The sequence below is a fragment of the Homo sapiens genome, chromosome 12, assembly GCF_000001405.40.
Source record: "Homo sapiens chromosome 12, GRCh38.p14 Primary Assembly".
Lineage (NCBI taxonomy): Eukaryota > Metazoa > Chordata > Mammalia > Primates > Hominidae > Homo > Homo sapiens.
The window spans coordinates 44,641,651-44,665,157 of record NC_000012.12 but is presented as its reverse complement, the minus strand read 5'-3'; the positions used below and the strand labels follow the sequence as shown (position 1 = coordinate 44,665,157).

Sequence of the window (23,507 nt, the reverse complement as noted above, 5' to 3'; positions counted from 1 at the left end):
ATAGATTTTTGAATAGAAAAATAATAACATAAATAATGTGATTTTTTTCAGAGATAGATTTAGAGTTCTAGGACATGGGACTATTAAATATAAATGAGCTTCTTCACATGTCTGAGAAGTACAATTGAGAACTACATCAAAGAAGTTTTCTATATTTTTGTTGTATGAAATACCACTCTTTTAGTATCATCTAAAGTCTTGTTAGGGATATTGTGTTAGTAGTGTCTGAAGTTGGTCCTGGCTTGGGGTAATACAGCATATTCCTTTTATTCTATAGCTTTCTACCTGTAGAATATGAAAACAAAACAAAACAAAACAAAACAAAACATGATGCTAGAAGAGTAGCTTGAATACTGTAGGATTTGAGGAAATGTGGGTGTGAAACAGAACATTTCTTTTCATCTCTATATTTTTAAATAGAAGAAACAAAAATAACATATTTTAGAAAAACAGGTAGAATCATAAAACTGGAGAGCACCCAAAAATGTTATTCTTGTCACCTATTTCTCTAGCTCCAACTTTATGATCTTTATCAGGTGCATGTATAAACAAAACCTAGATGTTTTCAGGGAAAGAGACTCCATAATCCTCCCTAGTAAAAATATGAATCTATAATAGAAGTATCACTTTGTCTTTGTTTTAGTTGTCTGCTTCTAAGTCTTCATTATAGTGTCCATACTGTCTGCTAATTGATAGCCTTATCACAGGGAAGGATCTTCTTCTAAATTCAAATATAGTATTTATAAAAACAAAATGATGGCATTCAAAAAGAATGAGAAGTGACTTCCCGATTTATGGAAAATAACTGAAGATATCCTGGAGGTAGAAGATATTTAATATAAAAATGCTGATGGATTTACAAATTCCTATCTTTTTTGTCAGTTCATCCTAAACATTTCCTAATTATGGAAACAATTCTTCATTTTTTTAGACAAAATTTAAGTACATTGAGTGGAAGAGTTTCTTGACGTAGGACTACAGAGATGCTTTTCAGCATAAAAAGAATATAAAAGAACAAATTATAATAAATAAAAGGAATATATCATTTACTATACTATTGATAATACCAATAAATCTGAATTTCCATTTCATCTTTAACAAGAAAACTAAGATAAAACTGCTGCATCTTAGAATGCATATATTTCAAGGTGTGCTTATTAAAAATGAGTGCTAGCAGTTCCAGGGGAGCCCACTGATTCTTTGGTATTATAGACTTGAAAAGCTTTGTGCATTTTTATATTTCCTAATGATTCTCTTTGTTTTTGTTATATTCTTAAAGTAGTGTTAGAAATTTTAAGTGAAAGGACATGGGACATAATTTGGCCTACTGTTGAGTAAGGAGTATTTCTGCAGGGCAGGATATTTTTAAGAGATTCATTTCCATTCTGAGTCTGTTGGATATAAATCCAAGGAATAGTTTAGCTTTCATACATTTACAGAGAGTCTTCTGCTTTGGCTTCGCCTCTCCCAGTGCACTTTCCTTCCAAATAAAATCCTACAAATTAATGTTTGTTTTTGACTACTTGGGAGGAATTTTCCCTTACCATTTCAAAGTATCTAATGACATAATTGAGAACTATTCCTTTGTAAGAATGGGAAGGGAGTAGAAAATCATTTTAAGAAACGCTATTCAGACTATGATTTTTTTATGCCTAAGAAACCAGAGCCAAGAATCTCAGGATCTGGCAGATGATAAAATGTATTTCTTTAATGAGGCACTAGCATTTTCAACTAACACCACTATTTCTATGCTACCACTTAAAGAGGAGAAACTTTCTTGCCCTTAAATTTTCTCTCTATTATGACTAGGTCTATGAACACAAAACTTGGATTTTTTTTAGAGAATATGTCGATTTTATTTTTAGTCCAGAGTCAGGTGAATATTGCCAAAGCTTATTTTTTTTTAATGTTAGGCCTTAGAAGGTCAACACATATTCCAGGTTTCTGTAAAGAAAATACATGTTTTCATTTTATGTCCTGGGATTGGCTCCCCCACACTTTGATATTAGGGTCTGTACACAAGTCTTAAAGAAATTACTCCCCTAATGGGACTTTGCCTTGTGACCAAAGTCTTCTATCCTGTTCCTTTTTGAGAGCTCCCTTAAGACCAGAGTAGGACTTTATTTATCTTATAAAATATTGAGATTTATTTTTTTCTAAATTTTAGTAACAGACACCCACATACTTGTAGTAGGAGACGTTCCAGAATGAATGTCAAACCATCACTGCTGAGCCTGTCCCTGATGTTTGTGTCCGAGCTCATGGAATTCCATGTTTGTTTTGCTTCTGTATCCCTGCCCTTCTTTCCTGTTAATGAGCCCCCTGCTAACAGAACAACAGATACTCCCAGCAGACTCTCAAAGTTGCTTATCCCATGTGGAAATTAATCATAGACATTCTAATTTAAAGAAGATTCCAAGAGCAATACACATTACTTAATAATCAAGAGCTTTGATCAATAAAGAAGCCTTTTTCTGCTTTATTTGTTTAACCTAGTAACTCTGGCATACAAATTACATATGCAAGTTGGTCAAATTGCATATTTTTTCTTTCAGTTTCAGATGATTTGAGTTAGATTTTCCTCATGTTCATAAAATTTTGTAGATGGAAGAATTATTAAAGATAATCTGGTTAAATCCCTTAAGTTTCACAAATGAAGAAACTGAGGCTCAGAGAGATTGCTTTATCCATAGTTAAACATCTAGTGAGAAGCAAAGGGGGCTGGAATATGAACCTCTTTATTATAACTCTTATACTATTCACTGTTTGTCTAATTTGCAGTCATACAAAAGTAAAGGGAAATGATTCATATTTTATGTAGAAACACACTATTCAATACATTATGTTCATTATTTAAACTACTGTCTTTATAGGTTATTTCAGTTAATTAGCTTCAATTCCAAGAGAAATTTTTACCCTACAGATCTTATAATAATGACCCTAAATCAGAAGTTAGTGGAATAAATATGAATCACCATTTTCTGGGCCTCTGACTCTATTCCAAAGTTGTGGAAATGACTCAGTTGCACTATTTGCACAAATGATGCATTTGTTTTTGCTCTTCTAAACTCAATATAATTTTCCTTTCATTGAAGGTGTTATTATTTTTTCTAATTAATGCTTCATAATTTCTCTCTTTACATCGTTTCGTGTTCCTATAGAAAAAATACTGGGTATCACAAGGGAAGAAAGACAGAGAGAGAGAGGAGCAGGAGGGAGGGAGAAAAGATAAAGGAAAGGAAGGGGGAAGGGAGAACAGAGAGAGGGAAATAGAGAAGAGAAAAATATGGAAGGGAAGAGAAGGAAAGAAATGGAAAAGGGAAGAGAAAAGGGAAGAGAGTGGAAGAGAAAACATGAGCCAAGATGCTTGAGGCCCATTCTTCAGGATCTCTGCAAAAGTAACCTATTTTGTTTATGCATAACAAAGTTTCTTGATTACTTATATGGACGAATGGCTTTTTTTGGTTCACTCACGTAAGCATTAATTAAATTGGGTAGATCTTCTTGAGTTTTACTGGGAATCTCTTCTTGGAACTGGCCTTGAGTAATGGAAAAAGCATGAAACATCTCTAGAAACAAAGATGGAATTGTTACCAGTGGCAAATATCTGAGTCACATGTCACTGTGTTACTGGTGGAAGACATTCGAGTTACCGGTGGTGAATCCATACAGGTCTGCAACAACCTCACTGATTACCTCCTCAGAAGAAAGAATTCAACTGAGGACTGAGGGGCATAAGGCAGAAAAAGAGACTGAGGCAAGTTTCAGAGCAGGAGTGGAAGTTTATTAAAAAGTTTTAGTGCAAGAAAGAAAGTACACTTGCAAGAAGAGTCCCAGATGGGTGACCCAAAGGACAAGTGCTGTGTTTAACCTTGATCCTAGGACTGTATAAGCTGGCCCACCTCCAACATCTTGCCCCCCTTTCCCATGATTCTTCCCTTAGGATGGGCTGCCTGCATGTGCAGTGCCCTCCTTACGCTTGGGAAGTGAGCATGCACAGTGTATTTAGGAAGTTGTATGCATGCTCATCTGAGGCTTTCTTCCCTTTTCCACTGGAATGCCCCTGGAAAGTCATACTATGTCATTTTGTCTCTTAATGCACATGCCAGGGAAGTTGCTTCTCCCTGGCATCTGCATTCAGTTAACGCTTTAGTGGACACGTGTGGACCCTCAGGAAATGGCCTTTCCCTAGTGCTGGCTGCCAATTCATCACTTTTAAAGAAGCAATGTGATAATTGCCAAACCATCACCTAACATTCCTGGTGAGTGGAGGAGAACCCTCTCCTGCCCCACTCATGCCTGTCTAACTACCTATAACAGAATCAAGAATTTTGAGTAAAGATCTGAGTGAAGAGACACTCATTTCAGATCTTCCTCACATTTCTCTCTGCTCTCTACTACAACAAAAAAGGAATTCTGATTCTTCTTTTGTGTTGATGAGCTCTATGTTGTGTAGTTCTTTAGCGTGGGAATAGGAGAATGGGAAGAATGGATGGGTAGAAGGGATGGAAAATTCTCTTGCCCCAGCCTAGGGATTAAATTGATCCTTTAGGGTAGTGGTTGTCAATTGTGCATTCCCACCTGACAAAGGATACTTGAAAATATCTGGAGATATTTTTGGTTATACAACTATGTGGGAAGCGGTTACTACTGGGATCTGGTAGGTAGAGGCCAGGGATGCAACTAAACATCCTGTAATATTATTAGGCTAGCTATCTGCTTAAGGAAATGTTTTATTTCCTTGGGACCCCATCAATGGGAATTTTTCTCTGGTTACCTTTCAGATGAGTGATTAATCTTCATCCTTTACAAGATATCTGGCACAGGACGCTAGGTCCTCATCCTCCAAAAAGATTTACATGGCCCAAAATGTCAATAGTCCCAAGGTTGGGAAATCCTGCTTTAGAGTCACCCAATTAAAATTGTAAGATGCATATTTTCCTTTTAACTTTCCCTGTTCCCCTTTGAATTTCCTTTAGGCCCTGTATAGGGATACCTTCTCTTACTTCTTGTGGTCCCCAGTGTCCTTTTATTGTCCTTTGGCCACAAAAAGGACCCTGTTTTAAGTCCCACTCACCACTAAGTTCTTCTGTCTCCTTTCTTCTATCAAAACCCGGATTTTAGCTTAACCTAGGTGAATGATTCTCCGAAGATAAAATTACAGGCCTCAGCAGAGGCAGCAGAGAAAATTTCTTAGGGCCCCTCAAATTACACTATCCTGGTGCATGCTCCATATACTTTCTACTGATTTTTACTGCTTCTGTTATCCCAGGGCCTTCTGATGCTGGCTTTGGTCCATGTCACATATCATAGGAGGTTTATAAAGTGTCTAAGCACAAGGAGTTCTACTAGATACTTGAGTTTTTGTTGTTGAAAAAAAAGGGGCTCCTCTGGTGTTCCTCAAGGAGTTTCACTTCTGAAAGTACTTAACTTTTTATAGCATTGAATATGCCTAGTGCTTATATTTTATTATCTTTTTGTGGTCAATTCTTTTTCTCTAACATGGTTGATGTTGAATTTTTTTAAAAAGTTATCACTAATGACCAGAGATGATGAGCTTTTTTTCATATGTTTCTTGGCCACATGAATGTCTTCTGTTGAGAAGTGTCTGTTCATATCCTTTGCCCACTTTTTGATGGAGTTGTTTGCTTTTATTCACTCTAAATTTGTTTAAGTTCCTTGAAGATTCTAGATATTACCTTTTTATCAGATGGATGGATTGTATAAATTTTCTCCCATTCTGTAGGTTGCCTGTTCACTTTGATGATAGTTTCTTTCACTGTGCAGAAGCTCTTTAGTTTAATTAGACCCCATTTGTCAATTTTGGCTTTTGTTACCATTGCTTTTGGTGTTTTAGTCATGAAGTCTTTGCCCATGCCTATGTCCTGAATGGTATTGCCTAGGTTTTCTTCTAGAGATTTTATGGTTTTAGGTCTTATGTTTAAGTCTTTAATCCATCTTACTTTTTGTATCAGGTGTAAGGAAGGGGTCCAGTTTCAGTTTTCTGCATATGGCTAGCCAGTTTTCCCAAAACCATTTATTAAATAGGGAATTCTTTCCCCATTGCTTGTTTTTGTCAGGTCTGTCAAAGATCAGCTGTTTATAGATGTGTGGTGTTATTTCTGAGGCCTGTGTTCTGTTCCATTGGTCTATATATCTGTTTTGGTACCAGTATCATGCTGTTTTGGTTACTGTAGCCTTGTAGTATAGTTTGAAATCAGGTAGTGTGATGCCTCCAACTTTGTTCTTTTTCTTTTCTTTTTTTTTTTTTTTTTTTTTTGGAGACAGAGTCTTGCTCTGTCGCCCAGGCTGGAGTGCAGTGGTGCGATCTTGGCTCACTGCAGGCTCCAGCCCCCAGGGTTCACAACATTCTCCTGCCTCAGACTCCTGAGTAGCTGGAACTACAGGCGCCTGCCACCTCACCCAGCTAATTTTTTGTATTTTTAGTAGAGACAGGGTTTCACCATGTTAGGCAGGATGGTCTCGATCTCCTGACCTGGTGATCCCTTTTTGCTTAGGATTGTCTTGGTTATGTGGGCTCTTTTTTGGTTCCATATGAAATTTAAACTAGTTTTTTCTAATTCTGTGAAGAAAGTCAATGGTAGCTTGATGGAGATAGCATTGAATCTATAAATTACTTTGGGCAGTATGGCCATTTTCATGATATTGATTCTTCCTATCCATGAGCATGGAATGTTTTTCCATTTGTTGTGTCCTCTTATTTCCTTAAGCAGTGGTTTATAGTTTTCCTTGAAGAGGTCCTTCACATCCCTTGTAAGTTGTATTCCTAGGTATTTTATTCTCTTTGTAGCAATTGTGAATGGGAGTTCACTCATGATTTGGCTGTTTGTCTATTTTTGGTATATAGGAATGCTTTTGATTTTTGCACATTGATTTTGTATCCTGAGACTTTGCTGAAGTTCCTTATCAGCTTAAAAGAGATTTTGGGCTGAGACAATGATGAGATACCATCTCACACCAGTTAGAATGGTGATCATTAAAAAGTCAGGAAACAACAGATGGTGGAGAGGATGTGGAGAAATAAGAACACTTTTACACTGTTGATGGGAGTGTAAATTAGTTCAACCATTGTGGAAGACAGTGTGGTGATTCCTCAAGGATCTAGAACCAGAAATACCATTTGGCACAGCAATCCCATTTTTGGGTATATACCCAAAGTCTTATAAATCATTCTACTATAAAGACACATGCACACGCATGTTTATTGCAGCACTATGCACAATAGCAAAGACTTGGAACCAACCCAAATGTCCATCAATGATAGACTGGATAAAGAAAATGTGGCACATATACATCATGGAATACTATGCAGCCATAAAGAAGGATGAGTTCCTGTCCTTTGCAGGGACATGGGTGAAGCTGGAAACCGTCATTCTCAGCAAACTAACACAGGAACAGAAAACCAAACACTGCATGTTCTCATTCATAAGTGAGTGTTGAACAATGAGAAAACATAGACACAGGGAGGGGAACATCACACACCAGGGCCTGTTAGGGGGTAGGGGACTAGGGGAGGGATAGCATTAGGAGAAATACCTAATGTAGATGACGGGTTGATGGGTGCAGCAAACCACCATGGCACGTGTATACCTATGTGACAACCTGCACGTTCTGCACATGTATCCCAGAACTTAAAGTATAATTTAAAAAAAAGAATTTCAAATCTTTTAAATGTGGTCTCATAAGACAATGTGTGAAGAATCTCAATTAATGGTAGTGGAATAAACGGCTGGTAATTTGAGGAAAAATTCAGTTTTGAGTCATACCTCATATACCACACAGATGCATGCACATCCGCACACACACTCTCTCTCTCTTTTCTTTCTCTCTCCAGTGAAATATTAAATGAGTTAAATATTTTTATTTAAAGAAGTTATCACTAGTGTCCTGTTTGTCAGTCTTGTTTAATTTGCTAATTATGAAGAAAGAGTGGTGAATTTTATGATGATATTTTCTTCACTTTTCCTCATCACTATTGATTTTCTAGCCTTAAAAGAGTCTTGGATACTATTTTTGGGTGCAAAAGGTTACAGAAAAGAATTTGCTGCTGAGCAACTAAAGCAAAGATTTTAAGTCAGTTGTAACCCATGCATGCCCCTTTCTCAAACATTGCTCTGTGTGTTTAATTTATTTAAAATAATACCAGAAAGGTAATTTCTTTGATGGATTTAAAGAAACGATATGTTGAAAAGGCAGCAATGTTATTGTTTTTATTCTTCTTCCCCAAAAATTTGTATTGCAGCAAAAATTTATTGTATGGACAAACAATACCTTCATATCAGCTATTTAAAAATAGCTTTCAATGGATTTATCAAAATCACAAGTACAGAACAAAACAGATAATTTATCGTGTGTGCATGTACCATAATAATTACTGGTATATAAATGGTAAAAGAAGTAAGAATACTGGGGACAATGACAGAGTAGATAGGGCCACAAGAAGCACAGATTGAGAAGGACGATGACAAAGAGCCAGAAGTGGAAATATGCATATCAGCTTTCACAAAAACATTAAACAAAGTTATTTTAGTTGTAAAGTGCCTTGTACACTTTTCCTTTAGTAAAATGCTTACTGCAAAAGAAATGTTTAATGAACACTAGCTGTTTTTATTGTGACTCTTATGGTTAGACAAGTTCTTATGTTGAGGAAATGTCTTATTTCTCACTGGGACCCTTTCAACTGGGCACTTTTCTCTGGTTAATTTTAAACTGAGTTGTAAACTTACATGAGATAGCTGTGTTGGAGCAATGGACTCAATGTGTTATTGTTTATTCGACTGTACTTCTTCTGTACCTGTGAATAGGGGCTTAAAAACCTTGATGTACGGTTACTCTGGAAGTTGGAAAATTCCTGCCTTTGGAGGATTTGTTGTACTTCCTAGGAAGAATTTCCAGAATGAATGTTAGATTGTGATACCCAGGGACTAAATGGAAACATTCAGGGTTTCACAATACTAATCTTCCTGGGGTAAAGAATAGCACCTCTAAACAATCAGCAGGTCTGGGCCATTCTCAAGCAGGACAGATTTTGTGAGCCTGGCTGCTTCTGTGTGAATTTATTTTAGAAAGAGCCACAGTCAACAATCAGACAATCCTACCATCTGGCCACTAGTTGCCATCATTATTGGAAATGACTTTTGCATTTTTGTGAACAACCATTTCAAATTTTCTTTTCCTGAAATCAGCATTGCAAACTATCAGGAAATTGTGGCATATATCAGCCTTTTTATAAAACTTGAAAATCAGACAACTTTAGGTTTTAAAATGTAAAGTATGCCCCCTAAAGCTAAATGATGCCTCATTCATCTCCTGTGGTTCATTATCTATTATGACAATGTTACTTATTAAGTAATTTGAAAATATAAACATGATCACAAAAGCAAATTAAAATACCAGGCCCTAGGACTCAAAGAATTAATGATGAAAAACTATTTCTAAGCAAACATAATCCAGGAAGCATCTCTAGAAAAGCATGTACTCTGGTTACCAGGAAGGGTTAATGTTTGGAAAACTTCAGGCCACATTTAGAAAACTCACAGAGAACAGAAGTGAGACGTGTCTCCACAGTTACTGAGGAGGCCAAGGCAATGTGCTTATCTCTTTTCTGAAACACATATGTGCATGCATACAATTAGCAGTCAGCTCAAAATGGAACAGGCTCAAAGCCTCTGGGAGCTGAATTGCCTTTTTTAAAGATGAAAAGCTTGGAAAGGAGTCTGTGCTCTCTGAATCTGTCAGTGAGTGGGGGAAGCACACCAGCTTCAACGTAGTGGCTTTTAGGCTTGTCAGAGCCTTTATGTAGCATCATATGCATCTGTCATATCCATATACAACCTCCAGCCCAGCTGGCCATAGTTTGGTCTTTAGAGCACCAGTGGCATGTTTCCCTGTGAACCTGCCTCTCTGCAAGCTCACCTGAGGACTGGGACGGTGGGAGCCGCCTCATTAGCAAGCCTCACCTACTTTGACTTATTAGTCAAACCCTAGTTTACCTTTGTCCCAGGTGGATGTATTAGTTGTTTCACTTCAAGATTTTTATATGAAAAGCAGATAGCTGAAAACTCCCCTAGGGGAATAAAAGGATTATACATGCCCGGAGTGTAATAATAACGGTGTCTTAGCAACAGACACCTGCAGAGGAGAGGATTGCTGAATTTGAAGCTCAACAGATGCCTTTCATTTCCTTTCTTGATTGTTGGCTTTGACATGTTAGCCAGGATGAAATTTGACCTTCCTTGTGCCTTATCACCTTCTGAGTGCTCCGTGGAGCAGAGTTCGTCTTCCCATTCTGCTGCTGATCTAATCTTGCAGTGGGTGTATAACCTCCTGGTGACATTGCCTCGCCTCGCTGCTCTTCTTTCCTCCCCAGCCCGCGGTGCCTCTGCAGTGTCACATTCATGACAAGTCATGGTTTTGGGCCCTGAGATAGAGTTTCTTCCCCCAAATCAGAAGCCTCATCTCTCCTGTGTGCTTCTGTTGGGGTGAGACACAGCCACACTGACTGCTTGAAGAGTGTTTCCTTACTGTGTCTGTGGGTCAGGAATCTGGTTGTGGAATAGCTGCATTCCAATAGGAACTGACATCCTGTTACTTTTGCTGTAAACTATTGGTTAGAAACAAATCACTAGGTCCAGCCCACACTAAACCGAAGGGGATTACACAAAGGTATGGCTAGCAGGAGATAGATATCAGAGGGGACCATTTTAGAGACTGACTACCACAAACGATGAGTATTATATGTAGTTAATTAACCCACTTCAGCCAAGTACAGATAAACTGTATCAGGTTGAAGGACAAGAGTAGAGAGAGTTAGAGTAGTAAAAATGTATGGTGTAGGAACTGTGTGTGAGTGATTGTGAAAAACCCATAAGCTGTCACACATTTCTTTTACTTTTCTTTACACCAGAGCTTTCATATAGGTACATGGTAAGGTTATTGTCCAATTTAATAGATGGGAATAGTGTAAATCAATCATTACAGCACAGTATGGTACAATTTGTAGCCAAAAAATGTGCAGAGAGCTGTGGGGAGCTCAGAGAAGGCAGTGAGTCATCTGGCTGAAACCTGGGTATGGCCACACATCACCAACTAAGTGACATTGAAATTGAGGTTTTTAAGGATGAACAGACGTTTCAAGAGAGAAAGAAGTGAGAGAAGACATTTCAAGAAGCAGGAAGAGTAGGTTGTTGTATAATAGCAAGTTTAGTGTGAATGGAATTGTAAGAGATAAAGCCAGAAAGTCTTACAGAAAATTCTAAGACACATTTATGGTTTCTGAAACATTTCTGACAGTCTATAGACATTCTAATTAAGATGTGCAACTTTAAGTGTTAACGCTTTATTTTGTCTTTGTTGTATGTTATTTTTCTTTTTTGCCAAAAAATTGTTTGTTAAATTGATGAGACTTCCAATAATCAATGCAGGCCTAGTATTAAGGTGATATAGTATTACATTCCAAAGAAGGCAGAAGGTTTTGTTGGTGTTCTTGGAACTCCATGAAAGCAAATTTTCAGTGTGGCTTAGTGAGAGCTGATTTTAGAATTTTTCTCAAAAATTCATTACCATTAAGTTGTTATCTGAGGAATTTAAAAAATGATTTGCAAAAATATAGTGAACTACCACAACTAACAACAACAACCAGAAGACAGGAAATGGCGTAGAATCTCTTTAGTTTGTCCAAATCAAATCGTGATCTTTCCCTGGCCCCCTTTTCTCCAGGATCATTTTGTGGCATTTAGCTTGTGGATAATAACTCACTCAGGTTTCTTAGATTTGAATTCTTCTTCTACTATCCACTAGTTGTGATGATGAACAATTTGCCTAAGTCTTTAGTCTCAGTTTCTTCATCTTTAAAATGGAATGATGTTACATACCTTATATGTTGTTTTTATAACAGAATAAGAAAAACACATGTAAAGTAGTTAGTATGATACCTGGAACATAATAAGCACTCAGTACATAATACTTGTTATTATTGTTGGTATTTGTGGTAGGTAGAATAAAAGCCCTCCAAAAATGTTCACATCCTAATCCCCAGATCTGTGAATAATATGCTACCTTACGTGGCACAAGGGATTTTTCAGATATGATTAAGGTTAAGGACCTTGAAATGAGGAGCTTATCCTGGGTTATCCAGGTGGTCCCAATCTAATCACATGAGTCCTTAGAAGAAACTTAAGAGGGAAATGTGACTATGGAAGACTGGTCAGAGACATGCAACCTTACTGGATTTGAAAATAGATAAGGAGTCATGAGCAGGAACATAGACATCCTCTAGCAGCTGGAAAAGGCAAGGAAACAGATTCACCACTAGAGCCTCCAGGGAGAAACGCAGGCCTGTGGACATTGTGATTTTAGCCTGGTAGATGTATGTTGGACTTCTGACCTATGGAACTTTAAATAAATATAGTTCAAGTTACCAGGTTTAATTTGTTATGGCAACAATAGAAAACTAATGCACTATTACTATTAGCTAACACTGTTGACTTGTCCATAACTGTATTTAAAAATGATTTTTAGTTCCCATTTTTCCCTAATGATTGAAGAAAATACATAATTCTGGAGCAAGTTTGGTGTTTGTAGAGAGAGTTAGAGGGATAGTCTGTTGAGGAGAAGAGGATTCAGTTCACATTTATGCCTAAATTCCTCACTTTAATGATTGAGTTGCTTTTTCCATATTTGGTTTTTGCTGTAAAAATGAGGGGTGCTCAACATTTTTAGAACATTTTCATTGTCTGTTTCCAGTGAACACAAACACACAAACACAAAATCACACAGAAATAGACTATACATTTACCCAACATATAATATATAAAATAAATGTATAGCACATGTCTCATCTGCTCTTTTTTTAGGAGATTCTGAACTTAATAATGTGGAGGAAGTTCACAGACAGTAATTTTGGAAACTATAAAAAATGTAGATTTACATGGTTATTGGGGGTATCGTTGTTGTCACAATCTCCAGAATGCAGGATTGTTGAGAATGACCTTTTAATTCAGGAGTACTCTATGCCAGCAAGGCTATTTCTGAGCCATCCATTAGTGACCTATGGGCCACAATTAGCTCTCAATGGGGATTTATTTGGCTTTTGGGTGTCTTAATGATTCAACACTTAAAAATTCAAAATATTTTGTCATTAAAATCTGGATTTCCAGCCAGATTTTCAGATTAATCCCTATTAATTTTGGATCTGCATTGCCGTACCTCAACTATCAATTACAGCTGAAATAGTAACAGCCTTCTTAGAAGAAGGTCTCCCCTCTCCTAGTCACTGAGATTCAGCAGTTCCAGTAGAAAAACATGTTCGGATAAATACTAGGAATTCTTATAGCCAGCCTGTTTCACCCATTTGCTTTATCTGTCTGACCCACAAATTGGAGCATTTTTGGCTTGTGACCCATGATTTATGGTGTTCAAGTGATCATAAATATGATCATCTTAAACCATGGAGATTTTACTATAAGAATTAATGTCAAAGGTTTGTCTTCTTTATGAGTCATATTCCTAATAGATTCACAAGTCACACTGAAATAAACCCCAGAAGAACCAGTAGACACTTCAATAAATGTCGAATCATCTGCATTAGTTTTCCTTTCAAAATTAAATTATAATAACCTTAAATAGTATAGTCACAGAGAGAATATATATATCATTATAGTGTAGTATCAGCTGCCCAATTTTAAAATCTAGAAGTTTAATTTATTGCAAAGTGTATAACAGAAAAAATTGTTTAGATCAACAGACGCACAAGATTTGTCAGTAAAGTGGAAAATATCCATGGAAGTGAAACTATTGAATACTGGATTTTGTTTTGGCTTTCAATAGCTTTGGATTTTTAGTCTACTTATGTTACCATAAAAAAATTCCATTGACTGCGTGTCTTAAACCAGTGATCCCCAATCTTTTTGGCACCAGGGACTGGTTTCATGGAAGACAGTTTTTTCCATGGACAAGTGGGGTGGGGTAGGGATGGTTTCTGGATGAAACTGTTCCACATTAGATTCCATAGGAGCATGCAACCTAGATCCCTTGCATGTGCAGTTCATAATAGGGTTCATGCTTCTATGAGAATCTACTGATGCTGCTGCAGTAATGCTTGTTCACCTGCTGATCACCTCCTGCTGTGTGGCCCAGTTCCTAACAGGCCACAGACTGGTACCAGTCCACGGCCCAGGCCTTGGGGACCCCCGGCTTAAATAACAGAAATTTATTTTACTTTTTCACTTTTCTGGAGGCTATTAGTCCAAGATCAAGGTTCAGGGCAATTTAATTTCTCGTGAGGGCTCCCTTCCTGACTTGCAAACAGTTGCCTTTTCACTGTGTCCTCATGTGGCCTTTAGGAGCAGGCAAAGAAAGAAAGAAAGAAAGAAAGAAAGAAAGACAGAGACCTCTCTGGTATCTCTTCTTATAAGGACAATTAACCTATTGCATCAGCGCCCCACCCTTATATCTTTATTTAACCTTAATTACTTCCTGAAAGGCCCCATCTCTAAATACAGCCACATTGGGGTTAGGGCTTCAACATATAGAGAGGGGGTGGGGCCAGGCACGGTAGTTTACACCTGTAATCCCAGCACTTTGGGAAGCCGAGGCAGGCAGATCACTTGAGGTCAGGGGTTCAAGACCAGCCTGGCCAACATAGTGAAACCCATCTCTACCAAAAATACAAAAATTAGCCAGGCGTGGTGGCAGGCGCCTGTAATCCCAGCTACTCCGGAAGCTGAGGCAGGAGAGAATTGCTTAAATCTGGGAGGCGGAGGTTGCAGTGAGCTAAGATCACACCACTGCACTCTAGTCTTTTTTTTTGAGAAGCTGTATCAAAAAAAAAAAAAAAATTGGGGGGTGGAGGCAGGTAAAGACATTCAGTCCACAACAGGCAGTCTGTTCTTCAATATCTTCAATAGATGTAATATCTTTTAAAAGGGAATAGCAGTCAATGACTTGTAAGGAGGTAACAAGATATTATAAGAATAAAATGTAATTATCCAAGGGAATACATCACCTAGATTCATTTTGCAGGATTTCATTGTAAGTTAATCAATGAAAGAGAATATGTTACAATTTGCAACTCCTTTGCGAGAGGAGTGCAGCCTGAGGCTGTAGGTTTTAGCTTGCCTGATATTAATGACATTTTTTATTTTATTCAGCTTCCCTTTACACACATTGTAATTAGTGGTATTACCCTTCCTTTAGCAGTAATTCTTTCCACATTCCTATGCAGAATTTGATGAGTCCAGTGATAAACAACTGACAGCACTTAGTGGGAAGAGCCCTGTGCAGCTGCCAACTAAATGCTCCTGTGATCACAGGCAACTCTCAGTCTTTTTGAATCTCAGTGTCCTGTTAGCAAATGGGGAAAATATGATTTCTTTGTTTGTAGTCAAGGTTTTCAGTTGCAAATAATAAGAAAAACGGGCTGTCTTAAGCTTAAAGAGATTTCCTGGCAGGGTATGGGGGCTCAAAGAATACACATAAAGCTTGAGGAGCAGTCTGGAAAATGTGCAGAGACCAAGTCATCTCTGAAGCCTTCAATGCTGTGACAGTCTTCTCAGGATGGGGCAATTGTAGTATGTATCACCCCTGCCACTGGGGACCACTGCAGGATGTGGGGACACACAGCACCAAAAGTGAATTCCGACTATCTCTTTGCCTTCCACTTACTCACTCTACGTTCAGAATTCCTGGGCAGAAGCTTATAGTTGTATTAATTTATGTTGCAAGACCGTGGATTTGCCAAGTGGCAGCAGGTTGATGGGACAGAAAGCATCTTGCCTCTTTTGGCTTCTGTAGTGGTAGGGGCACCCTGCCTCCTACCTGGAATCACGCAGTGGGTGATGTTTCCAAAACAGAGAGGTGGTTCAGACGCTGGATTACCAAGGCAGGCAGGCAGGCAGACAAGAAGGAGGGAAGGAGGGAGGGAGGGAGGGAAGGAGGAAGAGAGAAGGAGAAAAATAAGGAAGGATCTACATTGTCCTTTCTCCTTAATCTGCTTGGTTGGTGTGTGGTTCTATGACAAGATTATACATCAAAGAATGTTCAAAGCATTATGAAAATGTAAGATGGCATTGTGGCCGGGCACAGTGGCTCAAGCCTGTAATCCCAGCACTTTGGGAGGCCAAGGTGGGCGGATTGCCTGAGTTCAGGAGTTCGAAACCAGTCTGGCCAACATGGTGAAACCCTGTCTCTACTAAACACACACACACACACACACACACACACACACACACACACACAAGCTGGGCGTGGTGGCATGCGCCTGTAATCCCAGCTACTTGGGAAGCTGAGGCAGGAGAATCGCTTGGACCTGGGAGGCGGAGGTTGCAGTGAGCCGAGATCACGCCACTGCACTCCAGCCTGGGCAACAGAGCAAGACTCTGTCTCAAAAAAAAAAAAAAAAAAAAAATATATATATATATATATATATGATGGCATTGTTATTCCCACTGCCACAATCTCAGTTCAAGCCTTCATTTTTTTTACCTGAAAATATTAGGTATGATACTATCTCATTCTCTGTAAGTTTTTACCTCTTCATTATGACCTCAATTTTGTCACCAGCTTTGTCTTCACATGCAGTGTAGTTGTTTCCCTCTCTAGAAACTTCGTTGACTTATCGCCCACAGAGTAACACTCACACACCTTAGTAGAGCAGTCTTCCTTTCTAGTTTCATGTCTTTTTACAGCTTCTGTGTCCTCAAACCACAGGCTTCTGCTTTGCAAAACTATTATAGTAGAAGTTGTTAAGGTACCACACTGTAATTCAAATGCTGATGTAGCTGGATCCAGCCCCCTTAACCTGGGGCGAACTAAAGGTCTTAGCTTTTTTGGGCTGAGGGAGGAAGAAGGGAAGTAGGAAGTGACTGACTCATGATCATTTGAGGATTTAGCAGTTAAATTCGAAACATATTTAACATTGCAAAGATTTGACAGAAGGCATATGCTGAACCTTCTTTCTAGTGGGAGGAAGCTTCAGTGCTTCCAACACGTGTCATTCCCAGAGTCCAGCCCTATATCTCTCCCCATCTGTTTCTGCCTGCCTCTTCCACACAGTGGAGCCCCCTCCAAGCATAGTGACCTGTGTGGCAATCTCCACTGCTCTCTTCTACTTTGAGTCAGAAGACTGAATAGCTACACTGCCTAAAACCAAGAGTGGCAAGGACACCTTGACCCTCACCTTCCAACCACATGATGCATCACCTAGTAACTGGACAACCAATTGAAAAATATTTTTTTGTCATTAATCTCATAACATTTCTACCTTTATTTTACTAGGTTGGATTTTGACACCCCACTTATCCCATTATGGCAAGTTTTATTTTACATTTTCTAAGAATGTCTTAGCTGATGTGGTTTTCATTGGCCAGAACAGCCATCTTTATTTTTTATTTTTTCTTCACTTATTGAAATTCTATTCACCTTCTGTTGCTTAACAAACAGCTCCCACTTGTATAAGTTTCTTTGTGTCTTCTCATTAGAAAGTGGGATAATTTAGCAGCCAGTGGATCGAAACTCAAGTGGACTTAGTATTCACCTTCCTAGTCACAGAATGACATTTTCAATAGATTTTTTCATCTGCATTTCTATAGCTCTTAATTAAATCTGTTTGATTTTGTATTAGTTATTTACACATCCATCTTCCCCTATTAAATTATATGTTATTTCAGACTTTATGTCTTTTTCATCTCTATGCAGCAGATATCCCTGTTGCATAGATGAGAAAGCTAAATCTCAGAGAGGTTGAATAACTTGATTAAGTTGTCAGATTTTCTAAGTGGAGGAACCCTTATTCAAATAGGGAGAGGAAAAAACATTTGGCTACTCTTCTTCCATCACTTTAGGGAAGGCAAAACCATTCCTAGAATTTATGTGAACTAGACATGTGGTTGTAAACTTTGGCTAACTCAGTCTCATCCTCAAATTCGTGTTCTTTAGGTTATATATCAGTGCCAGTCCCGGATGGATTTGTATAGGGGCCCTGCTACCCACTCCTTGGCATTTCCCTCTATGCTCTTGGTTTTTGGTGTCCTCAAATTCTAGGTGTTTAGAATGCATATGTGCTATTGCACTGTGGAAGTTTGTCTTGAGCAGAACGCCCCAGGGTCTGTGCTTACTATGTGCTGGACATAATGCTTACAACGCTTTATATGCATTTTTTATTTAATCTTATTAACCATCTTTTAGGTCAGTACTATTGCTATCCCCATTTTATGTATGAGGAAACCGAAGCTAGAGAAGTTCAAGTAGCATCCCAAATTTGTAAGCTTTTAAGTAGTAGGACTACTTAGGGAAGCAAAATTAAAGTATCTCAGTAGTATTTTGACTTAGCATTCAAAATAATTACATTGCCTAAGAGTGATTTGTAAACTCCATTCACTCAAGTTTTTCTCTGACTTCTTTCCTTAAGTTGAACTTTTCACTGCACATTCACTAGGCAGTACAGTAGTCCCCTCTTATCTACAGTTTCGCTTTCCATGGCTTCAGTCATCTGTAGTCAACCAAAATCTGCAGCAATCCAAAAATGGTTGAGTACAGTACAATAAAGTATTTTGAGAGAGCACACTCACATAACTTTGATTACAGTATATTGTTATAAGTGTTCTATTTCATTATTGTCACTAATTTCTTACCATGCTGGATTTGGACATTAAACTTTATCATGAGTATGTATTTATAAGAAAAACATAGCAGATATAGGGTTTGGTACTATTTGTGGTTTCAGGCATTCACTGCAGGTCTTAGAACATATTCTCCATCAATAAGCAGAGACTATTCTATTGTACTGTCTACAAGATCACTCTAGAGCCCAACCACTTGTGTTTGAAATCTGGTTATGCAGCTTATTAACTGTGTGACCTTTTGGAAGTTGCTTAACTCTCAGTGCTTCCATTTCCCTTATATAAAATGGGAAGGAAAGTAATATCTCACACTTGCTGTAAGGATTAGATGAGTTAATATATATGTGAGATATTTTCAGTAGTGCCTAGAACAAGTGGTTTAAAAAAAAGTACTATTTATTTGCTGCTATTTGGAAGGCATATGCTTGATGCTATGGAGGATAAAAAAAAAAGACATACCCTTGCAGACTTTATAATCTATGAAGGGAGGTAGAAATGTTTTTATTTAGTCATTCAACTAAAATTAATAAAAGACAAAGTGAATTGATTGCTAAACAGTTATAAGCTATGTGCTATGGTCATTTGCTTATATAAAATTCTAATGATGGATGCAAGATGAGGGTAAAAAAGAGTATAATATACTATAATATACTGGATAAACATTGGCTGGAGTTAGGAATTAAGGAGTGTATAGACAGACCTATCACATGCTAACTGGGAAACTCAACCAGTTACTAACCCTCCCTGACACTCTCTTTTGGTAAAATGGGAAAATTATACCTACCTTTTAAAGGCATTTTAAGGATTAAAAATATTAAAAGGTATTTAAAGTGCCTACAGGATTGGCTGTGAAATAACATGTGGTTGATTAGATAATATGAAATTCTATTACTCAACTATGAAAGGGATTATTGTACCCAAGGAGCAAATTGGGATTTAAAATAAGAAAATGTTTCTCTCCCAATTTTACCCACTTTTGCCTCGTTCACCACCCATTTGCTAACACCATGGACACTGAGGCCACCCTTGATTCCTCTCTCATTCTGGACACCCAACTTATATTCATGTCCTTTGTTTTAGTTTTCAAAATAAAAAGCTCAAATCCACACCCTTGTCTTTGTCTCCCTTCCATTATAGAAGTCTAAGTCAGCAAATTGTTGTCACTACTATATTGGTTTGTTACATTTGCTTTTGCTATCTCCAGTATGTTCTGCACACAGCAGACAGAGTAATAATTTAAAAGTAAAAAATTGGCCCATGTTCTTCCCTTGCTTATTGCCATTTAGTGGCTCCCTATTACAAAGCTATCATGTGTCCCCTCCCTCCCTCTCCTAACTTGTCTCATTCCACTTGATGTCTTGCTTCTCATATTTAGTCGCATTGACCTCTTATTTCCTAGAAGAAATTTCAGTCTTCTTTTTTCTTCGTGAATTTTCTATATTCTGTCCTATTACTTGAAACATAATTCTTCCCTCTCCTTTTCCATAGTTGGCTCTTACCCATCCTCTGTATTTTAACCTAAAAATTACCTTTTCTGTCTCCTCTATCTAAATAGTCTCTTCCCCATCCACTGGGGTTCTATTATGTTTCCTTCAGAAGCTAACAGTCACAAACTTTTTTTTCTTCCTAACTGTCTGCCTCCTGCTTCTGTACACCCACAAAACAAGGATAATGTCTGTTGTTTCTGCTTTGTTCATCAGTGGACACCCAGAATGGTTCCTAGGAGGTATAGATGAATGAGTAGCAGCAGACATTTGGGACCATTAATTTAGCCAATAAATATTAGCTACCAAGAGCATCAAAGCACATTATGTCAGAGTTCTAAGGAATAAAAAAAAGGTATAGTGAGTATGCAGTGTTGTGTGTGTGTATATATATATATATATATGTATGTATATATATATATATATACATACATATATATATATATATATATATACTTTACTTTGTCTGGTATAGGATGTCTTCAGGGTTTATTAGGTCCTTCAGAAGATTGACAGTCAAATAGCTCTTCATCCAAAAGCTGAGCCTGCATCAAATGAAGACTTTCCCTCCTTTATCATATCCAGTTGCAATACTCACCTTATTCTTCTAGAGGAGAAGTTTAGGGCATACCTTTTAAATAGCAATAGGTGGTTGCCATGGTTCTCTTCCATTTCTTCGTTACCTTGCCTAGAATTTATCTCAGATTTATTATACAAAATTCAACTCAATTACATGCCACACTGTGAACTCACTGTCTGTCAGTCCTGCTAGCACCTTACTCATATTTATTGCTTTTTACAAAAGCAAGCCTATTTTGTCTGTATTTTTTTCTTCTGCTGCTACATAATGGCCTGAATTTCTTATTCCAAGATTGTCTCCACAGAGGAATAGAATGAGGTTGTTAATCTTGCACTGGCCTCTGTGTTCATAGTCTATCAATAGCTGAATCTTCTTTTGTAACAGTAGTAACTGTAAGTTTGAGACACTTACAGCCCAAATGTTCTTTGAGTATTATTCCTTTACAGTTTGTCTTGTCCTATCAAACATCTATCTGATTAGATAGGTTTTCCTGGTGAAATCATTGTTATTGTTCCAAGTAGAAACTCTTGCCCATGTTTCTAACTCCTGTTTAAGGTCTTTTAAGTATTTGTTGAAAGTACAGACACACTTTTTTGTTGTTGTTCATTTTCCAAAATCTGCATCATTATGCACATAATAGAACCATTCCAGAAAAACGAATTTGGATAATATTTATCCATAGAAACTCTACTGAAATTCAGGGGAAACCAAATACACATATTTTGAAAAGCTTGGCATTGGTTAATATAAATATACTGCATCTACGTGGAACCCTAAATTTGCTGCTTTCTTGTTGCTACATGATTTCTTTTGTATATGTATGATTTTTCTTTCAGATATAGATGTAATATGTACACAGGATATGGTGAAAACAGAGGAGGCCAAAGAAGAAAATTAAAATCCCCCAGTATCTCATTTTTTAGTGATACTGCTGTTAATATTTTATCTTTTTTTTCCCTTTGGAAGGTCTGAACCTCGTTAATATTTTAGACATAACTTTTTATTCTTTTTTCTACACATGCAATGCCTACGTACCTTTGTAAATTACATTGGAATTATACTATCATAATGTTTTTTAATCTAAAAATGATCAACTTGTATGAATATTTTATCATATCAATATTTCACAACATAATTTAGAATGGTATTGTAGCTCTATAAAATAAACTATAATTTTTTCTGCCAGTCAGATATGGTTGAAATGTTTAGCTCTTTCTAGAATTTCACTCTTCAGATAGTATGTGGTATAGGACTTTTGTAATCCTCCCTGATAATATTCTTAGGATACACTTCTATAGTGTTATTAGGCCTCAATTGTGCACATTTTAATACTTTAATACATAATATAAAATTTTCATCTGAAAGTTTGTAGGAGTTTACATTTTTATCAGAAGTATATGAGAAGGCTGGTTCTCTGAATCCGTGTTTGTATTGAAACTGTTTTCCTTTTATTGGTTTAAATGTGTGTATGTGTGGAAGGGTATGTATCTTCGTGCTTTTAATGTCTCTTTATTGTGGTAAGAACACATAACACGAGATCTAACCTCTTCACAAATTTTGTTTTGTTTTGTTTTTGAGAGGGATCTTGCTCTGTCTCCCAGACTGAAGTGCAGTGGCGTGATCTCGGATCACTGCAACCTCCGCCTCCTGGGTTCCAGTGGTTCTCCTGCCTCAGCCTCCCAAGTAGCTGGGATTACAGGTGCACACCACCATGCCCAGCTAATTTTTGTATTTTTAGTAGAGATAGGGTTTCATCATGTTGGCCAGGCTGGTCTTGAACTCCTGACCTTAGGTGATCCGCCCGCCTCAGCATCCCAGAGTGCTGGGATTACAGGCATGATCCACCACGCCCGGCCACTTCTTCACAAATTTTAAGGGACAATATTGTTAACTGTAGATACACTGTTGTATAGTAGACCTCCAAAACTTATGTTTTTGGGTAACTAAAACTTTATACCCATTGAACAGAAACTTCCCATTTCCTCCTTCCCCCTTACTCCTAGCATCCACCATTCTACCTGCTATTTATTTGAGTTTGACCATCTTATATATTTTTATGAGTGGAATCTATGAACATTGTTTTATTATGTGTGTATTGACTTTTTTTTCCTTTTGTGAATTGCTTATTCACGTCCTTTGACTCTTTAATCTATTTTGGCTGTTGATATTTTTCTTATTGATTCCTAATGAGTGTTTTCAACATCTTTTTCAGTTTGGATAGAATGCTTATCAGGTTAAGAATCATCTGTGAACCCTTGCCTAGATGGTAGGCTAGCAGCACATTGCACCTGCTCACATGTATCCCTGGTGACTCATAAATCAAGTGGCAGAAAAGTGCAATAGTGACTGCATGGATCAATCCTTTCTCACTTCACAAAAGCCTCTGAATTGGGCAAGGAAGGAAATATTGTCCCCATTTCATAGAGGAGAAAATTGTGACTCCAAAAATGAAGAAACTGGGCCGGGCGCGCTGGCTTATGCCTATAATCCCAGCACTTTAGGAGGCCGAGGTGGGTGGATTGCCTGAGCTCAGGAGTTCAAGACCAGCCTGGGCAATACTGTGAAACCCTTTCTCTACTAACATGCAAAACGTTAGCCGGGCATGGCAGCATGTGCCTGTAGTCCCAGCTACTTGGGAGACTGAGGCAGGAAAATTGCCTGAACCCGAGAGGCAGAGGTTGCAGTGAGCCGAGATCCCACCACTGAACTCCAGCCTGGATGACAGAGCAAGACTCCATCTCAAAAAAAAAAAAAAAAAAAAAAAAAGGAGAAACTAGTACAAGTCCTCACGAGTTTAAATACCAA

The 23,507-nt window shown here is 37.8% G+C and overlaps 1 protein-coding gene across 6 annotated transcripts in view; it reads left to right on the top strand.

Annotated features, from left to right (window-relative positions):
• NELL2 (neural EGFL like 2) overlaps positions 1–23,507 on the top strand; it is a 413,574-nt gene that overhangs the window by 256,691 nt on the left and 133,376 nt on the right. The gene's annotated exons all lie outside the window — the stretch shown is intronic.